Consider the following 15,543-nt stretch of genomic DNA (forward strand, 5'->3'; position numbering starts at 1 on the left):
ACAGGCATGACAGGAAGAGTGTGATAGTGTGACTACAGCCCCACAGGCATGAACGGAAGAATAAAGGACTACTACAAAAAACGGAATCACAAATTCAGCAACTGATATAAAATGGACCAATCCCCTGAAGACACAAACTGCTGAAATTAGAAATAGATAACCCAAATAGTCTATTATTTATTGAAGAAACTGAATTTCATAGTTTAAAACCTTGCCATTAAGAAGGTGAACTGCAAGGACAGTGCCAGTGGGAAGTTCTACCAAACGTTTCAGGAACACCGCCTGTCCCTCCTTTGAGGAAAGCAGTCCTCTGTGTGTGCCCCTTATTGATGGTATTTTCATTAAAATGCACATACACAAAAAAAGAAAAATAAGCGGCCCAGGTTCATGTAAACAGTAGTGTTTATTCAGAAAGCATAAACCCCAGCGCTCTTGGAAGGTTTTTCTGAGATGGACCAGAGGCTCCAATCAGAGGCTTCGTGTGTAGGAAGCAATTACAGCCTAAAGGAGCAGGTGAGAGCCAGGGAAGGATCACGTAGGGATCTGAGACTTGAAATGGCCTCAGGCCAGACAGCACAAGGCAGCCCGGACAAGACACCCTCAACCCACATGCACCAAACCCAGCCTCAGCACCTAGCCCACCCCGATGGGACGGGGGAGCAGTGGCTTGTTGCTGCTCATGACCTCCTGGGGAAGGAGGGAGCTGAGATCAAAATGAAATAAGGAACCTGGTAGTCGCTTCCGCATTCATACAAGAAACCTCATGTCTGAGAGCAAGACAGGCAGGGACTGCCCCCTGAGAGCCCTGAGATCGACATTTCTGAAGCCCTGCCACCTGCCATCCCTCGTAGGGATTCAAGTCCAAATAGCCAGAGCCTCTGGCAGAGGAGATGGGGGAAACTGAGGTAGCCCTAGGGTCGTCCTCTCAAGTCAAGCTGCCTGGAGACTGTAGCAGCTACGGTTGAGGCTGCTCAGGAAGCACAGACCGCCCCAGACAGCAGCTGAAGCTGAAGACTCCAGGGCCAGGCCATCGGGTCAGGCGTTCAGGAACGCGAAAGCTGACGGCTCTGAGCCAGGAGGCTCTTTGGCTGCTGTCCTCTGGGACGATGTTTGGGGGGCGCGGGGAGCATCAGGACAGGACTCTCCCGCAGCAGCCCCAGCCCCCACCAGGCGGGGACAGGCCACCAGCTCCATGCCAGCAAACAAGGAGTCGCGGCTCCACGCACAGCTGCTGGGGCCTCTCTTTGGGCTGTCCGTGCCCCCTGGGATCCGTTCAGGTCTCCACCGCCTGCTTTCTGCCAGTCTGGCCTCGGCCTCGCTGGGGTCTCCGGGGGCTGGAATGGGGGAGGCATCTGGGGGTGGGGTGGGCACAGGGCTGGACGGCATCCCAGATGAGGGAGCAGGGCTCCGGGACGAGACCGGGGTTGAACTCAGAGGCTGCAGGAAGACCTGGCTCCCAGGGAGAGGCACAGCGTCGGTCAGCAGGTCAGATGGGCCTGGGAGGGCGGCTGTGGGGCCAGGCTCAGCTGAGGTGCCCCGGGCAGGGGACAGCTGCCCACAGGAGGCCTCAAAGTGCCTCAGGATCTGAAAGAGGAAGGAGGAACCAGGGAGGTTCCTATGCAACCCTGGGAAATGTGGGGACCAGGGCCCGCTTCTCCCTAGGACCTCCTCAGTCCCTCCACCCAGAGGGCAGGGCCACCTCTGGGCAGGACACCGGCTGCTGGGAGGGGCTGGGGCAGTGCACCCAGTTGTCATCCCACCGAGAGCAGCTGCTGGGCTGGTGCTGGCGACACGGGGCAGGTGTCACATACACACCTCGAATCTTGCTCCTTTACTCACTACTAGACAAATGGACACCCTCCCCGTCATAACCCGCCAGGCACTGCCGGAGGGAGTGAACACGTGGCCTGGCACATCTGGGCATTTCCAACTGTTGGACGCAGGGTTCTTCCAGCATGCCCGTTTTAGAAACCCCACTATGAGGTTCGCCTGCGGTGGTGCGAACCCCAGGCTCACTCGTCGCTCTGACTGAAAGGTGAGCTAGCAGATGGCCAATGACAGTTAAGGATGACTTGGGGATGGGTGACTGAGGACCTGTGTTTCCAGCAGCCAGGGAGAAAACAGGAAGAAAGAAGCTGGGAATGCCCACAGGCAGAGGGAAGGTGCCAGGGCCTGGCGGCCGGGAGAGGCCTCCCCGTGTGATTCCAGTGGCCGCCAGGCAGTTCAGAGTGTTCAAGTGCACAGAGATGAATGGAACCATTTCTGCCCTCCGGAGCTTGGGAGTTGAGCATGAGCTGTGTCATGGGTGGCAAACTGCATGTGCAGTCAGGGAGGGCTTCCTGGAAGAGGTAAGTGTGAGGCCAAGACACAAGGGCAGGAACATTAAGGCAGCGGAGTCTGGGGGCTTCCAGGAATAGGTAGAGGCCAGTGTACTGTGAGTGCTGCAGAGTTTGGGTGGAAGGCGGGAAGGCAATGGGGAGGTGAGGACCCTGACTTGCTGCTGCTCCCTCTGCCAGCGGGACAGGGACTTGAGAGGGGGTCCGGGAAGGGCTGACCAGGCGCCGGGCAGGGACGGGGTGGCCGTGGACTGCAGCGTATCTCCCACTGTACCCTTGGACCCCGGTGTGCGTGTGGCCTCCGCAGCTGCCCACCTTGGTGGCCTTGTTGGTCACAGGTCCCGGGCTGCCCATGCTGAGCTCCTGCAGCCACGGCCGGGTGCGGAGGAGGATGTGCTCCTGGGGGAGGAGGTCGCTGCTCCCCAGGGAGGCGATGGCACACAGCGCCCTCTGCGGGTGAAGGGAGGGGACATCAGCACCCATGGGGCAGCAGGTCCACGCCAGGGAGGCCTATTTGGCCATCTCTCTCCCTCTTCTTCCTCCTCATCAATGACTGGAGTGCCAGGAGGCCCCAGAGACAGCTCCACCACAGCCCTGTCCTCACCGCCTTACACCCCGGATCCCAGACACCACAGCCCTGTCCTCACCACCTTACACCCCCGCTCCCAGACACCAGAGCCCTGTCTTCACCGCCTTACACCCCAGCTCCCGGACACCAGAGCCATGTCCTCCCCGGCTCCTGGACAGACCCCAGCGAGAAGCACGTGACCTGCTGCCCCGATTGCCTTACCTTCATTCCTCCGCACGCCCCCCGACACACGCACACACGTGTCCACACTTTCATGTGCATGCACACACACACAGGCACATACATACACAACCACACACATGCAGTCATGTACACACACACACAGATGTGTGCATACCACACACGTGCACAAGTGTGTACACACCGCACACATGCACGAGTGTGTACACACACAGGCATACATACACAGGCATACACACCCACACGCACACACACAGGCATGTGCGCACGCACAGCCACACAGAGGAATGTTCACACACAGGTGTGCACACAGGCACACGTGCACACACACGCACACGCACACACACGCACACAGGCACATGCACACAGTCACGCCCTCCCGCCCGCGTGTGCAGCTCACCAGCTGCGTGCATTCACTGGTCCCACGCAGGTGGCAGGTCAGCAGCTGCAGCACGGCCTCACAGTTGAGCAGTCCACACCTGCACAGAGGGGACACCTGGGTGGCGGGTGCGGCCCGTTCCCTCCTCCCTCGCCCACGGTTGGGGCTGAGGCAGAGCAGGGCGGGTCCGGGCGCACTCACGCTTTGATGAAGTGCTGTGCCTCCTCGCGGCTCAGGAAGGCGCGTGGTCCCCGAGTCACAGTCCTCACCAAGCTCAACTCCTGCTGACAGTCACTCAGGGCCACCACCTCGACCCTGCCAGGGGGAATGGCCGGGTCAAGGGTGAGTGGAGGCCATGCCCCCACTCCTGTCTCGCATGGGGGAGAACCTGGAGAGCAGGAGCCGCGCTGGGAGGGGGACAGTGTGGTGCCTCCGAGACCTCTCCCACATATCTGGCAGCTCCCGCTCACCTTTCTGCCAGGTCACCCGGCTCCCGGCTGGCCCCTGAATGGCTGTCGCTGCCGGAATGACTGCCCGAGTCCGAGACCCTGCTCAGGTCGCTGTTCTGGGAGGAATTCTGAGAGCTGGGGCCGCTGTCCAGCTCATCCCAGCCCCCTCCGGCCTGCCCAGGCTGATGCCTCACAGCTGGAGGAAACAGGACAGCCGGTGAGATCCCTGGGGCTTCAGGCCAGCCCCATGCCCACCTCCCGGGGCCCTGGACCAGGAGGCCTCGGGGGCTGAGTCCTGAGCTGAGGATGGGTGGCCACCTTGGCTCCAGCTTCAGCAAACACCAGCCCCATGGGCATGTGCTTCCGCCGCGGGTCCCACCCCTCCTGCTGTGTGGGAGGCCCTGGGATTTGCCTCCGTGGCCGCAAAGCCCCAGCGGTGACAGGAAGGAGTGACCCAGACCCCAAGGGGAGGAGCCCTCGCCTCGATACCTCGGGGACCTGGAATGGCCCCGGGGAGTAGGTTCCCCAGGGTTGGGGGACCGTGGCTGGCTGAAGGCATCATGGCAGGCTGGTAGGTGTCACCCCGCGGCAGGAGCCTCCGGGTACTGGGACTCTCGGGCCCGGGGCGCATGGCGCTGGCCACCACCTCTGCGGCCTTCTGGATGGTGGAGAGGAAGGCTTCGCCTGCCGAGCCTGTACCCGAGGAGAGGGAGATGGGACGGCCGCCCAGTGCGGCCCCCACCCGCGTTCTCTGGGAGCAGGGTGCCCGCATCGGCTCCCTGCTCAAGCTTGGAGAGGTCGGGGTACATGCTGCAGGTAGGGAGGCCTCCTGGTGGGCCCCAGGCCCTCTGGAAGCTCCCAGTGGACTCCGCTTTGGCATTCCCACTCCCAGTGGGCCTGGACACCAAAGCTCACTGCAGAGTTATGCCTCCGTCCCTCTGTCCTCTGGGGGTGAAGGTGTCCTAAGGGGCTTGGGCTTGGCCTTGGCTCAGGGAGGGTGTGTCCAGGGCTCGGGGAGGGGCCGGCCTTTCCTGTGTGAGTTCCCTGTAGAAGCTGCCCCGACACCAAAGTGTCGGCAGGAGCCCCAGGCTGTGCGCAGGACGGCGTGACACAGCCTAACGGTGAGCAGCTACACACCGCCCAGGGCCCGGCAGCAGGGCACAGCTGGGCTGGGGGCTGGGTCCCAGCCGCAGGCAGTGGTGCCACCTGTGGCTCTCCTGGCGCTGGTGAGCAGTTGTCCACTGGTACTGCCCCACCTCATAACAGCTCCACACGGGACTGCCTGAGTCACCTGCACCACAGCCAGGGGCACAGCCCTCGGCCCCTCTCAGAGTGGGACTCACCCCTGCCACGGGGCCCAGCCCTGACTTCTTGCTCGGCCTGGTTTCTCTCATCTGTCCATAAAGCAGCCCTGGCCACACCTGCCCCACCCCCACGTCAGCAGCCAGAGAGAGACAGTGGGGACAGCCCCAGGAAGGGTTGAGGCCATGTAGGGGAGGGGACGGGGGACAGCAGCTACTAGATGGGGCGGCATGGTCCGGCCCCCACCACCTCCTCATCCCCACACCCTGAGATGCCAGAGCCCATGCAGGCCCTCCCCACTCACCCGTGCGGCCGTGTTCCTTGCTGTAGCCGAAACCCTGGAGGGTGCTGTGCGGCCTGGCCTGGGAGCCCATGCCTGCAGAGGGTCCTCCGTTAGCAGCAAGCCGGCCCCCACCCTCGGCCCTGCCCACGGATGGCACAGACACCCAGGACACTCAAGGAGGCAGAAACCAGGTGCCAGAGCTGGACACGGTCCCCTCAGTCACCTACCTGTGGCAGGCGGGGTCCCCAGAGGCTGGGAGGGAGCCAGCGGCAACACGGTGTCCGAGAACAGGGTGCTCCCCAAGTCCTACAGGGGGAGGCGAAGGCCCTCAGTGTCCTCACACCAGGGCCTGCTGTACTCACCCTGCCACCCATATCAGCTCCGTTCTGTCCCCCGGACACTTCTCCTGAGCCACTCAGCTGGACACAGGCTCTGTGTCCACCAGCAAGGAGCAGAGGCAGGGGTCCCGGATGGGAGAACTGCAAACCCCCCAGCTGACATCCTGGCCCCAATCCCACCCCTCTACAGGAGGAGGGGCACCCCGCAGAGCGACACTGCTCCTGGGCTCACCTGCGCGGCCGCGCGAACCTTCTGGTACAAGCTGTTCCCGTGCAGAGGATCTGGGGGCCCTGCAAAAGCTGCAGAACAGAAAAGGCAAGTCGGGGGCAGGGCTGAGCCTGGCACCGCTGCTCCCTGTGGAGCACGGTGCCCTGGGCCCACTCCAGGGTGGCAAGTTCCTGCCACCAAGGCCCTTCTGTCACAGCCAATGGGATGCCCTCCTCCAGGACCCTGCAGAGGCCACACCTGAGCAGACCCTCAGCTCCCCCTCACCCATGCCCCACAGAGGCGAGACTCTCTCCACAGCAACCACCTCGTCTCCCCCAGGGTCGGCAACCCCTGGTGCCTGAGCGGGTGTGGCCTCCCCGAAGCCCACTCTCCCTGCCCCAGGTGCACCAGGGACCCCTCAGAGGCTTCCGGGGCCTGGAGGGAGAAACCAGCGTTCTTATCACAGCCTGAAAGCTCCACCTAGCCCCACCCAACCCCAGTCTCAGCCGCCTCGAGCTCCCCTGCTCTGAGAGTTCCTGTCATGATGAACTGGGGCTTCTTTCCTTAAATCTTCCGGCCCCAGGGCCCCCCAAGCCTACACCTGGGGCCGCGGCATCCTTTCAGGGCTCAGGCTGAGAGCTGTGCCTCTGAGAACCCCTCGAGAGCCTCTGTCACAGGCGAATCCACTCACGCCCCTCGGCCGTCTACCTCCACCCTGGCAGGCTGGTCCCGTGATTCGGAGACGATGCTCCTGGCTGTCCCTGGGCCCAGGGCTGGCGGCCACAAGCTGAGTCAATGGCTGGATGAACTGACACCCTGAGGCTGCCATCTTCCCTGCAGGAGCCCAGGGCACCCACCTGCCACCCCACGCTGCCCCTGCTCTGTGACAGAGCAGGAGCATCACCATCTTGGACAAGCCCCTCATTCTAAAGTTCACCTTAACCAAAAACTGCCTAAATCCATAGGGCATCAGCCTAATGGCTAAGGTCAGCACGACCATGAACCACAAATAACATCTCCAACCAGAAACATTCCAAACTCCTCCCCAACCAGAGACATGCTAGCCCCAAGATAACCCTTCTCCAGCCGGGAAGATGCCAGCTTCGAGAAAACCCACCTCCAGGCTGAAAAGATGCCTGCCCCAAGATAACCTTCCCTCCTTCCAACCCTGCCATAAACTTCTCCACACACATAAACATTCCGAGCTTCTGATAAGCCCTCTCATCCTAAAACCAACATTCAGTCTGTAAGATAAAGTGCTCCTGACCGCAATCGGCTGGGGGTGCCTCTCAGGTTTTAACTAAAGAAAATCTGTCTGTAACTGCCAGCTGCGTTTTCTTTCCTCTTTCTGACGCTCTGCGCGCGTGGGGCAGGCCATCCTCACTGCACACCCACCACCTGGAGCAGGGCGCCCCGTCTCTCACGTGTGGCATCTGGCACCCACTTTCCTCACAGGGCCTGTCCTGACACCTCCCACAGCCTGTGTGTCACCCAGGGCCAGTGTCCAGGCACGGCAGGCAACAGCCATCATCCATAGCTGCCTCTGCACAGGAGAGACTCTGGTGCCGACAAGAACCCAGGGTCTGAAGAAGAGCCTTTCCCATCCTCAGGTCCTGCTGTGCCCCATCCCCCTACCTGCTGCAGCCCCCACCCCAGGGCGTGTCCCCGAGACCACTGAGGCCACGACGTACATGCACCAACCACAGCCACGGGAGTGGCCTGGAGCCCGGGGCCCTCTGGCCCGCTGAATGGTGAGGATAAATGGCTGGTGCTGCCTTGGCCCCAAAGCTGTGAGGAGCTCTGTGAGGATGGCGAGAGCACCCCCGCACTGCCGTCCCCTCAGGGGCATCTACTGCCTAAGTCATGTGTCACAACTGTCTATGGCGGCCCAGGGCACTGGCCCCTGCGGAACACCTAGAGCTGCATGCCCACTTGCCATAAAGTGGGACAACACTGGTTTCGACACCGGTTTTGGGGTGAGCCCAGTGGATGGTACACCCTGAGGTCTCCACAAGCAAGCAGTGGCACGAGACAGACTCAGTCTCCCTCCCCAGAATTCCCCACTCAGGGGCTGGGGTGGGGTCCAGACATGGTGCGCCCAGTGACCACCTGGAGCCAGGCCTCCCTCCACCCCATGGAAGATCTCAGGCCAAGCCCCCACAAGTCCTCATTAGGCAGAGGCACATGGGACTGCCCCCAAGCCTGCGGGGACAGCTCCCCCAGACCCATCTTCTGCCTGGACAGACCGACTGGCCGGGGCCCCGCCTCTCCTGCCTCCCAGCTCCGCCCTCCCATGGCCTCACTCTGTCTTGGGCTCCGAGGAGCAGCCCCAGAAGGGGAACCCACAGCCTGGGAAGGATGTGTGAACAGGCACTGAGTCTGCTATGTGTGGGCACTGGGATGGAGGGGGAAGACCCGTGGGGCACACAGAGAAACAAACTGGCACCCGGGGCAGCAAGCGCAGGGACAGACGCAGCCAAAGGCCCAGGGACGCATAGGAGGCACGGAGGACCCAGCGGAGGGAGGGGGCAGGGCGCGTCAGGGGAGGCCGAGCCGGCCAGCTGGGGTGAGGGTGGGCAGCAGGTGGAGAGGCCAGAGATGGGCCAGGATCAGCAAGGCGGGGCTTTGATCGGGACCCGGCCCAGGTGAGGGCTCTGGCTGAAGTCTTCCTTCTCAAACCTGGAGGATCCGCCACCCTCCCCCATTCTCCAAAGCCCTGGCTCTTCCTGAGCGCGTGCGCGGCCCCTGTACCTGCAGCTTCCTGGATGAAGGCAGAGTTGCGTTTGAGGATGAGCAGGAAGAAGGAGGAGCCGTGGCTGCACAGATAGAGCAGGATCTTCAGCACCTGGGGAGTGGGGCGGTCAGCAGTGCTGGGCAGGCCGGACACGGGACACCCAGGGCAGGGCCCGGGGGCACCCCAAGGGCACAGAGCTGCCTGCCACCCTGGGCCGCTCGTCTGCTCCTCCATCCTCACCACCGTGGGCCGGGCCTCAGGCCTGACCCTTGACCACCCAGGGGCTCACCTTGAGCTTCCCGTGGCCGGAGCTGCTGTGCAGGCGGCTCAGGAGGTACTCCAGCAGGCACTGGCTGCTGCCCGGAGACTCGTGGGAGATTTCTGCGGCACGCTCGGGTTAGGGAAGGGCGAGATGATGAGGGCTGCGCCAGGCCGCAGGGAGACCAGGCCATGGGGCCTCTCAGTTCACGCTCCCTGGAGGCGCCTACTGGAGGCTCTGCCATCAGGAGCACCTGGGCTTCTAGGGTCCCCTGTGTCATCAGTATTGCAGCCTTCAGACCCCACCCATGCCTGGTTACAATAATAAAGGAGCCGTGCATCCCCCTAGGGACAGCAGAATCCCCAGGAACCCTTTGCACCACTCTGGGACCCTGCCATCCGCTCTTTCCACTACACGGGGACATCAAGGAAGGATACTAGCAATCTCTTCAAACAGGTAGCCCGGACACGGGACATCATCATCGGACGTCCCCTTCAGGAGAATCGGGAGCTGAAAGGGAACAAGAGCCCCTACCATGATGAGGTGCCATTTCCCACAGGGGTGAATCCGCAGCCCCCCAAAGGGGATGGAAACGACCCACCTCTCACTGTTGACATGGCCGGAGAGAGGACTGGGAAGGGATGAGAACTGTGCTACTGGCCACAGGGAGGCTGCAGCAGGGTCCTCTCTCAACAGTCAGGGATGAACAGCCTCGGAGAAGAGGCAAATCAATGGTGGTTCTCCACGGAGGAGCTGCGCCACTTGGGTTAAGAAGGGACACAGCCCCCAGCCTCCCTGCACTTACCAGCATGTAAGGCTATTTGAAGGTACCTCTCCTGTACCTACCTACTGACTAGCAAAGCCAAACAAGGCCCAGGCAAGCCCCTTTTCCACACAGGGGACTATGAATCGTTCCACCTCCCCAGAGGCCGGAATGGCAGAGTGACAGCCGCTCAGCGTGACTAGCTCCATCGCTCCCCGAGAACCGACTGATGTCGTGTGTTTTACGTTCGCTTAGCGCAGACGTACTTATTTGTTTCATGCTTACTTACTGGCACAAAGATGTACGGTTTATAGGGATGAAAACTGGAACCACCCATTCTTGCATTATTCAGTATCAGGACAGAATAGAGTTCAAGAGTATTTAACAGGACAAGCATGGGACCCACCGCGTGAGGTGCCGAAGCCTTTCGGTCGGAAGGGCCGAGATCTAGTGACAACATACGAAAACGTGGACCTGAAGTGTTTCCCGAGGCTGTGGACACGCATCACTGACACTGTTTGCCCACCACGCCCTAAGGGGAGCTGCTGAGGTTTGCAGGTGACAGCTGACAACTGCAGAACGCAGCACAGAACGACTATGTCGAAACCTTGCACTGAGAGCCTTGACCAACCCTAGCGTGGCTTCTGGCAGCCCAAGGTCGCGCCCTGGGACCACCCAGCCCCCTCTGAGGTCCAGCCCAGGAAAGCTCAGGGCTGACAAAAGAGGGCAGTTTGCTCAGGACGACACCTGGGAACTCGCCCCGGCCTCTACTTCTCAGAGGGTTTACTAAGAGGGGCTTACAATGGTGCGTCCTTCTCTGTCCCTTCGAGACGTCTGTGTTCTCTGCAACCCAGGGGTGCCTCTCCAGGACCGGAGTCCTCTGAAACGCCACCGTCAGGGAGGACGGCGGGCTGCCAGCCCACCTGGGCGCCAGCAGCACGGACACAGCGGCTCCACGTCCACCGGGTCCGCCGCTCCTTCCCTCCCGTCGGAGGCCACTGAATGCTGGCCGAGGCCTGTTCGTTCCCCCAGGGTCTGGCTGTGCCCATCGCCCTTGCGCTCGGCGGGTCCGGCTTGGAAGGCCCGGCTTGGAAGGCCCCGGGACGGCGCGGCGGGCGGGCAGCTCAGGGGCGTCGGCGCGGGCGAAGGGGCCAGGAGCAGCTACCCGGCGCGGAGACGCAAGGTCAATGGCTCCGGCCCGGGGCGAGTCCGGGGAATGCGGCGCTCGAGAGGAGCCGTGGGACCGGGGCCCGGGCGGACCGCCCTCACTCACCCGGTGTAGAAAGCTCAGGCGGTCCCGTAGCGGCGGCGCGGCAGCCATGATCCAGGTCCCCTCCCGGTCTGCCCCGCTTCCGCCAGGCCCGGGCCCTCCAATCACTGCGCGGGTCTGGGTCCGCCGGCCAATCCCTCACGGTAGGGCGGGCCCTGAGGTTGGCTTCGTAAACAATTGGAGCCTAGGCCAATCCGAAGTCCCAGAGCACAGACAGACTAGGACAAGAGCCAATTGCGGGGGCTCGAGGCCAGGCAAAGCCTGGCCAATTAAGAAGTTCAGGAAAGGTTATGGGCGGAAGCGCCGACCTATCAAGCTGTTTGACACCGGAAGAGGACGGACCTAAGATGGCGGCCTCCAGGGGGCTGGGAATAGCCGCTCATGTCGGCTAACGGAGCGGTGTGGGGCCGCGTGCGAAGCCGCCTCCGCGCCTTCCCCGAGCGGCTGGCCGCCTGCGGGGCCGAGGTGAGGAGCCGCGGGCGGGCCAGTGCTGCGGGGCAGGAGGAGCCGCGCGGGGAGGTGGCTGGGAGGGAGGACGGTGACGGGGTCAGGGGACCCCACGACCCACGCCCGTCCTTTCCGCAGGCCGCGGCGTACGGCAGGTGCGTGCAGGCCTCCACGGCCCCGGGCGGCCGCCTGAGTAAGGACTTCTGCGCGCGGGAGTTCGAGGCCCTGCGGAGCTGCTTCGCCGCTGCGGTAGGTGGGCGCGGGCCCCTTCCCCCCTTCCCAGCCCTTCCCCTCCAAGAGCCAGCGGGCCCCGGCTTTCCTTTGCTTTCCCGTTGGTTCAAGGTTTGAGCGCCTGCCGCGTGCTTTAGACGCCGGCTGACAAAATCACCGAGCCATCGACGAGCCCGCGAAACCTCGGCCGTCCTGGGCTTGTCCCTGCATGTTTGTAAAGCGGGACTGGCACCAACCTCAGAAAGGATGGGAGATGTGTGCAAAAAAGCGCCTTGTAAAACGCGTAAGCTTTCGTGTTAGCACTGCCGCCGGGGGGTGTCATGCCAGGATTGACCCAACACAGGACTCCCGGAAAGTGCCCAGCACCTTCCGGGTCTTCACCTCCCTGGCACTTGCAGCCCCTGTGCACCTGCAGTGGTGGATTCCTTCAGCACGTGTCCTGCGGGGAACCCCCAGCCACCCTCACAACTGGCACGATAGGGCTTCTTGCCCGTGGGGCTTTAAGTCATTCTGAGGCTGGTTCCCTAAGTGTCAGCCGCACCGGGTACCACCTCAGTGTATCTGGGTAGGCCTTGATGCCAGTGCTGACTCTGTTTACTGGGAGCTGTTAATCCGGAGATTTGGACCAGAGAAAGGGTATTTGAACAAGAGTTCCACGGCCTTCATCCCTACCCGGCCCCAGCAGCCTTGGATCCAGGGGTGGACAACTCATCAGAAGTTGCACTTTTTGCTGGGTGTGGTGGCGCGTGCCTGTAATCCTACCGCTTTGGGAGGCTGAGGTGGGTGGATTGCTTAGGCCTAGAAGTTTGAGACCAGCCTGGGCAACATATGGAGACCCCGTCTCTACAAAAAAAAAGAAAAAAAAAATTAGCCAGGCATGGTGGTGTAGTCCCAGTTACTTGGGAGGCTGAGGTGGGAAGATCACTTGAACCTGGGAGGTGGAGGTTGCAGTGAGCCGAGATCACGCTGCTGTACTCCAGCCTAGGCAACAAAGTGAGACTGCATCTCAAAAAAAAAAAAAGGGGGGGGGCTCCTGCTTTCCCTCTATGAGAGCTTGAGACCAAATGTGGCATCTCGTGGGGGCTCAGAGGAGGGGGCAGCAGTGAGTTCTGTGATAGTGTCATGAGGCCCTTGTCCCGTGGACAAGTGACCCAGAGAACCTGCCCATGGGGCCCCAGGCTCCAACCAGTCGAGCCCCCACCATATGCCAGCACCCAAGTTCTCTGTAAGGTATTTGGTAGAACACAACGTGTGGTGTGGTAGCTTGCTTTTGAGGCGTATCTAACTTGGAAGCAAGCCATTCAGACAAAACACTTTATCTTGCAGGCCAAGAAGACGCTGGAGGGAGGCTGTTAGGAGGGACTCTGAGCTTCACACCTGTCTGCTGCCATGGGTGCAGAGCCCTAGTCCTGATGGCCCCTGGTGGCACATATCGAATGCCTAGGGCAGAAAGGAAGTGGGAATGGCGAAGATGTGACATTCCTCGGTGTTAGATCCTGTTTTTTCTTAACAAGTTGAGGCGTGGGTAGAGCAGGAATTGGTTTTCCAGCATTGTGTCCGTAAACCTGAGTTAGAATAAGATGTAACGGAAGCCACGATAAAGACTCGGTCAAATCCTGCAGCCTGGGGCTTACTGTGTGCAGACTGCAACATGTGGGTCTTGGCCTCTCTGAGATGGAATGGGGCCCAGAGCCTTTCCCCCAAAGCTGGCAGGGCTGGGACTTGGGGACACCCTGCCTCAAGGTCCCCGTTTTAAAACACTCTCACTAAGGTATTTAATGTGAATCTGGTGAAGCCTGCAGACCTTGCTGTGGGTATACAGCACACACCAAAGACAAGGACGTCAGCACCACGAGGGGACACTCCATGGGGCAGGGTCCTCGCAGGTGGCTTTCCTGGACACGGGGCAGGGCGGAGGCTCTTCACAAAAGGGCCTGAGTCTCCGAGAGGGGCCTGCGTAGAGCACCAGCAGCCAGTGCCCCTCCTGTGTGGGGTTGGTCGCCCCCTCGGCAGCCCAGGTACTTCACCGATGGCGCCTGCCCTCTCGTTCCCCCTCCCTATCACATCACTTGACCTAAAACTAAGGTGAGAAGGGCCACATCCTGACTCTGCCCGGGCACTTGTTGATGGTGAGACCCCGGAGTCCATGGGGCCTGAGCGCCACCTGCAGGGCGTGGCGGGGACTGCTTTGAGAGCCCCCCTGCTCCGGGGTGCAGAGGCTGCACTTTCCTGGGGCTGCAGCCTGCGCCTGCCCCCAGGCCCGTGCTAGCGGCTGACCCCGTGGGCTGAGGTCTGTTCCTCCATGTTTCCTCCTCCAGATGCTGCCCCAGAATTAACCTGGTTTCCCCTAAGGGTCTGATCTGGGTGGTGGGTCTGCAGGAGCCAGGCCAGAGTGCTGGATTTTGTCCCAAGGGCCAGGATAGTGTCACATCTTGGGAACCACGGAAATCCAGACCAGACTCCTGGGGTCAAGCCACCGCAGTCCATCCCTGTGCATGCCAGACTCAGATGCCCTGCGCTGGCACAAACCACCCGACCCGCCTCCCCAGCGTGCAGGGCCGGCTGCCCCCCACCCCTGCCTTCCTCCTTCTTGTGCCCAGCACTCATCCATGAGCGAGCCTCAGTGTGCAGACGTCCTTTTCTTAGCCCTGTCACGCCCTCTCCGTTCTCTGGCAGCTCATTGGCAGAGCTTCCTGCATCTTCTCCCTCCAAATCCAGCCTCCCATCCCACCCACAGACCTGTCTTGCCAGCACTCCCCCTCGCTGTCCTTCACCCTGTGTGTGAGGTGGTGACAGACCTGCCACTTCCTGTGGCCCAGCGTGGCCCACACCTCCAAACTCAGCTCTCAGGCCTCCGGGGTACACCCTCTTTTCTGCCACCCCAAATTTCCTTGCAAACCTCCCACCTTTGCTCTGCCCTTCCTCCCTGAGTGACTGGATTTCAGCACCACATCGATTGACAGCTCAGGAAGCTGGGCGGGTGGGGGGGGGGGAGGCGGGGGGGAGGGGGAGGGGAGGTTGTGGGGGTTCTGCTGTTTTCGCACCGCAGGGACAGTGTGGAGCTCTAACTGCTTCAGGTGCCCTTGGGCCGTCCCTGCTGCCCTAACAAAGCACCTGAGACTGGGTGATTTACAAAGAACGGCCTGATTTTTCACAGCTCTGCAGGCTGCGAAGCCCGAGATCCAGGCATTGGTACTGGTGTCTGGGGAGGGCCTTTGTGCCGTGTCCTCACACTGCAGAAGGCGGAGGTGCAGCCTCTTTTATAAGGCTCTTAATCGTACGAGCGAGGAAGGAGCCCTCGGCCTAGTCACCTCTTGATACTGTCACTTAGGCAACTCCTGAATTTTGGAGGGGACACATCAAACCACAGCAAATGCCTTGGCTCTCAGGAGATACCCAAAGTTCTTTGAGGGCTCAGCTCCGCTCAATCCGTCCCTGGGCCAGCGTGCTGCGCAAGTCTGTTCCCGCGCAGAAGTACACACCGGCGACGGGACAGCGCTATCCCTGCTCTGGAACTGAGCCCCCAGAGGCAGACTCCACAACCCAGCGACCTGCACCAGGACTGACCAGACAGGAGCAGCCTGTCGTCAGAAAGCGCAGCCTGGCCCCGGGGCCCCTCTGTAACATTCTGAGAAGCCCCACCCAGGGGTCTGCGAGGCTTCTGGGGAAAGAAGTTTCTCTTTCCTTCCCTGAGGGGCTGCCACCTGGGCTGGGGGGTGGGGGTGGGAAGGAATAAGGAACCACATGTGCATGGGAGCAGGTGACCCTGTCTGTG

General features: G+C 61.5%; 2 protein-coding genes and 2 long non-coding RNA genes across 16 annotated transcripts, besides 7 other annotated features; 3 read left to right on the plus strand and 1 right to left on the minus strand.

Moving 5' to 3' along the window:
- Positions 1-384: 384 nt before the first annotated feature.
- TEPSIN (TEPSIN adaptor related protein complex 4 accessory protein) lies at positions 385-11,163 on the minus strand. Of its 10 annotated transcripts, XM_047435391.1 has the most exons (15): positions 11,094-11,163; positions 10,622-10,981; positions 10,110-10,267; positions 9,495-9,567; positions 9,088-9,179; positions 8,816-8,909; positions 6,089-6,156; positions 5,746-5,824; positions 5,540-5,611; positions 4,423-4,626; positions 3,955-4,129; positions 3,686-3,799; positions 3,506-3,584; positions 2,652-2,786; positions 385-1,584 (listed from the first exon to the last, which is right to left on the minus strand). In XM_047435391.1, exons 3-15 carry the CDS (start codon positions 10,215-10,217, stop codon positions 1,036-1,038), a joined length of 1,842 nt encoding a protein of 613 aa, XP_047291347.1. In that variant the 5' UTR covers positions 10,218-10,267; positions 10,622-10,981; positions 11,094-11,163; the 3' UTR covers positions 385-1,035. The 10 variants fall into 10 exon arrangements, with proteins under 10 accessions (XP_047291347.1, XP_005257123.1, XP_011522657.1 ...); XM_005257066.2 differs by having other exon boundaries at positions 10,622-11,163; XM_011524355.1 differs by having other exon boundaries at positions 9,088-9,185; positions 10,622-11,163.
- Positions 815-4,317, plus strand: TEPSIN-AS1 (TEPSIN antisense RNA 1). Its single transcript, NR_135654.1, has 4 exons — positions 815-1,485; positions 1,846-2,035; positions 2,110-2,348; positions 3,966-4,317. It is a non-coding gene; the product is annotated as a TEPSIN antisense RNA 1 (long non-coding RNA).
- LOC124904081 (uncharacterized) lies at positions 5,566-7,391 on the plus strand. Its single transcript, XR_007065940.1, has 2 exons — positions 5,566-5,709; positions 6,047-7,391. It is a non-coding gene; the product is annotated as an uncharacterized LOC124904081 (long non-coding RNA).
- Positions 10,487-11,069: an enhancer, noted in NCBI's record as "H3K27ac-H3K4me1 hESC enhancer chr17:79212179-79212761 (GRCh37/hg19 assembly coordinates)". NCBI's record gives its function as "activates a minimal SCP1, AML or CMV promoter by ChIP-STARR-seq in primed H9 embryonic stem cells {active_cell/tissue: H9 hESC(primed)}" and the evidence as "EXISTENCE:reporter gene assay evidence [ECO:0000049][PMID:30033119]".
- Positions 10,853-10,942: a silencer, noted in NCBI's record as "silent region_9120". NCBI's record gives its function as "represses an Ori minimal core promoter by ATAC-STARR-seq in GM12878 lymphoblastoid cells {active_cell/tissue: GM12878}" and the evidence as "EXISTENCE:reporter gene assay evidence [ECO:0000049][PMID:35858748]".
- Positions 11,045-11,260: a silencer, noted in NCBI's record as "fragment chr17:79212737-79212952 (GRCh37/hg19 assembly coordinates)". NCBI's record gives its function as "represses an EF-1alpha promoter that drives an FKBP-Casp9 reporter gene in an ReSE screen in both phorbol 12-myristate 13-acetate-treated (for megakaryocytic differentiation) and untreated K562 erythroleukemia cells {active_cell/tissue: K562 | K562(+PMA)}" and the evidence as "EXISTENCE:reporter gene assay evidence [ECO:0000049][PMID:32094911]".
- Positions 11,313-11,532: an enhancer, noted in NCBI's record as "active region_12955". NCBI's record gives its function as "activates an Ori minimal core promoter by ATAC-STARR-seq in GM12878 lymphoblastoid cells {active_cell/tissue: GM12878}" and the evidence as "EXISTENCE:reporter gene assay evidence [ECO:0000049][PMID:35858748]".
- On the plus strand, positions 11,419-13,418 carry NDUFAF8 (NADH:ubiquinone oxidoreductase complex assembly factor 8). Of its 4 annotated transcripts, none has more exons than NM_001353403.1 (3): positions 11,419-11,555; positions 11,676-12,051; positions 13,095-13,406. In NM_001353403.1, the coding sequence occupies exons 2-3, from the start codon at positions 12,015-12,017 to the stop codon at positions 13,259-13,261; spliced, it is 204 nt and encodes a 67-aa protein (NP_001340332.1). In that variant the 5' UTR covers positions 11,419-11,555; positions 11,676-12,014; the 3' UTR covers positions 13,262-13,406. The 4 variants fall into 4 exon arrangements, 3 of the variants coding, with proteins under 3 accessions (NP_001340332.1, NP_001340331.1, NP_001079990.1); NM_001353402.1 differs by having other exon boundaries at positions 11,676-11,790; NM_001086521.2 differs by having other exon boundaries at positions 11,426-11,555; positions 11,676-11,786; positions 13,095-13,418.
- Positions 11,503-11,652: a silencer, noted in NCBI's record as "silent region_9121". NCBI's record gives its function as "represses an Ori minimal core promoter by ATAC-STARR-seq in GM12878 lymphoblastoid cells {active_cell/tissue: GM12878}" and the evidence as "EXISTENCE:reporter gene assay evidence [ECO:0000049][PMID:35858748]".
- Positions 11,913-11,992: an enhancer, noted in NCBI's record as "active region_12956". NCBI's record gives its function as "activates an Ori minimal core promoter by ATAC-STARR-seq in GM12878 lymphoblastoid cells {active_cell/tissue: GM12878}" and the evidence as "EXISTENCE:reporter gene assay evidence [ECO:0000049][PMID:35858748]".
- Positions 14,537-14,831: a silencer, noted in NCBI's record as "tiled region #11657; K562 Repressive non-DNase unmatched - State 14:Gen5'". NCBI's record gives its function as "represses a minimal TATA promoter and a strong SV40 promoter by Sharpr-MPRA in K562 cells {active_cell/tissue: K562}" and the evidence as "EXISTENCE:reporter gene assay evidence [ECO:0000049][PMID:27701403]".

The sequence above is a fragment of the Homo sapiens genome, chromosome 17 (genome assembly GCF_000001405.40).
Source record: "Homo sapiens chromosome 17, GRCh38.p14 Primary Assembly".
NCBI classification, from domain to species: Eukaryota; Metazoa; Chordata; class Mammalia; order Primates; family Hominidae; genus Homo; species Homo sapiens.

Bases quoted from the DNA above. Each gene is read 5' to 3' on its own strand.
- TEPSIN (XM_011524355.1), bottom strand. From the start codon at position 11,141: ATGGCTGCCGCGCCGCCGCTACGGGACCGCCTGAGCTTTCTACACCGG. The intron at 9,568-10,109 runs GTAAGTAAGCAT...GTTCCCTTTCAG, and splicing joins AACCGTACATCTTTGTGCCA to CTCCCGATTCTCCTGAAGGG. The intron at 5,825-6,088 runs GTGAGCCCAGGA...CTCCCCCTGTAG, and splicing joins AGGTTCGCGCGGCCGCGCAG to GACTTGGGGAGCACCCTGTT.
- NDUFAF8 (NM_001353402.1), top strand. From the start codon at position 11,472: ATGTCGGCTAACGGAGCGGTGTGGGGCCGCGTGCGAAGCCGCCTCCGC. The intron at 11,556-11,675 runs GTGAGGAGCCGC...TCCTTTCCGCAG, and splicing joins TGGCCGCCTGCGGGGCCGAG to GCCGCGGCGTACGGCAGGTG. The intron at 11,791-13,094 runs GTGGGCGCGGGC...TTTATCTTGCAG, and splicing joins CTGCTTCGCCGCTGCGGTAG to GCCAAGAAGACGCTGGAGGG.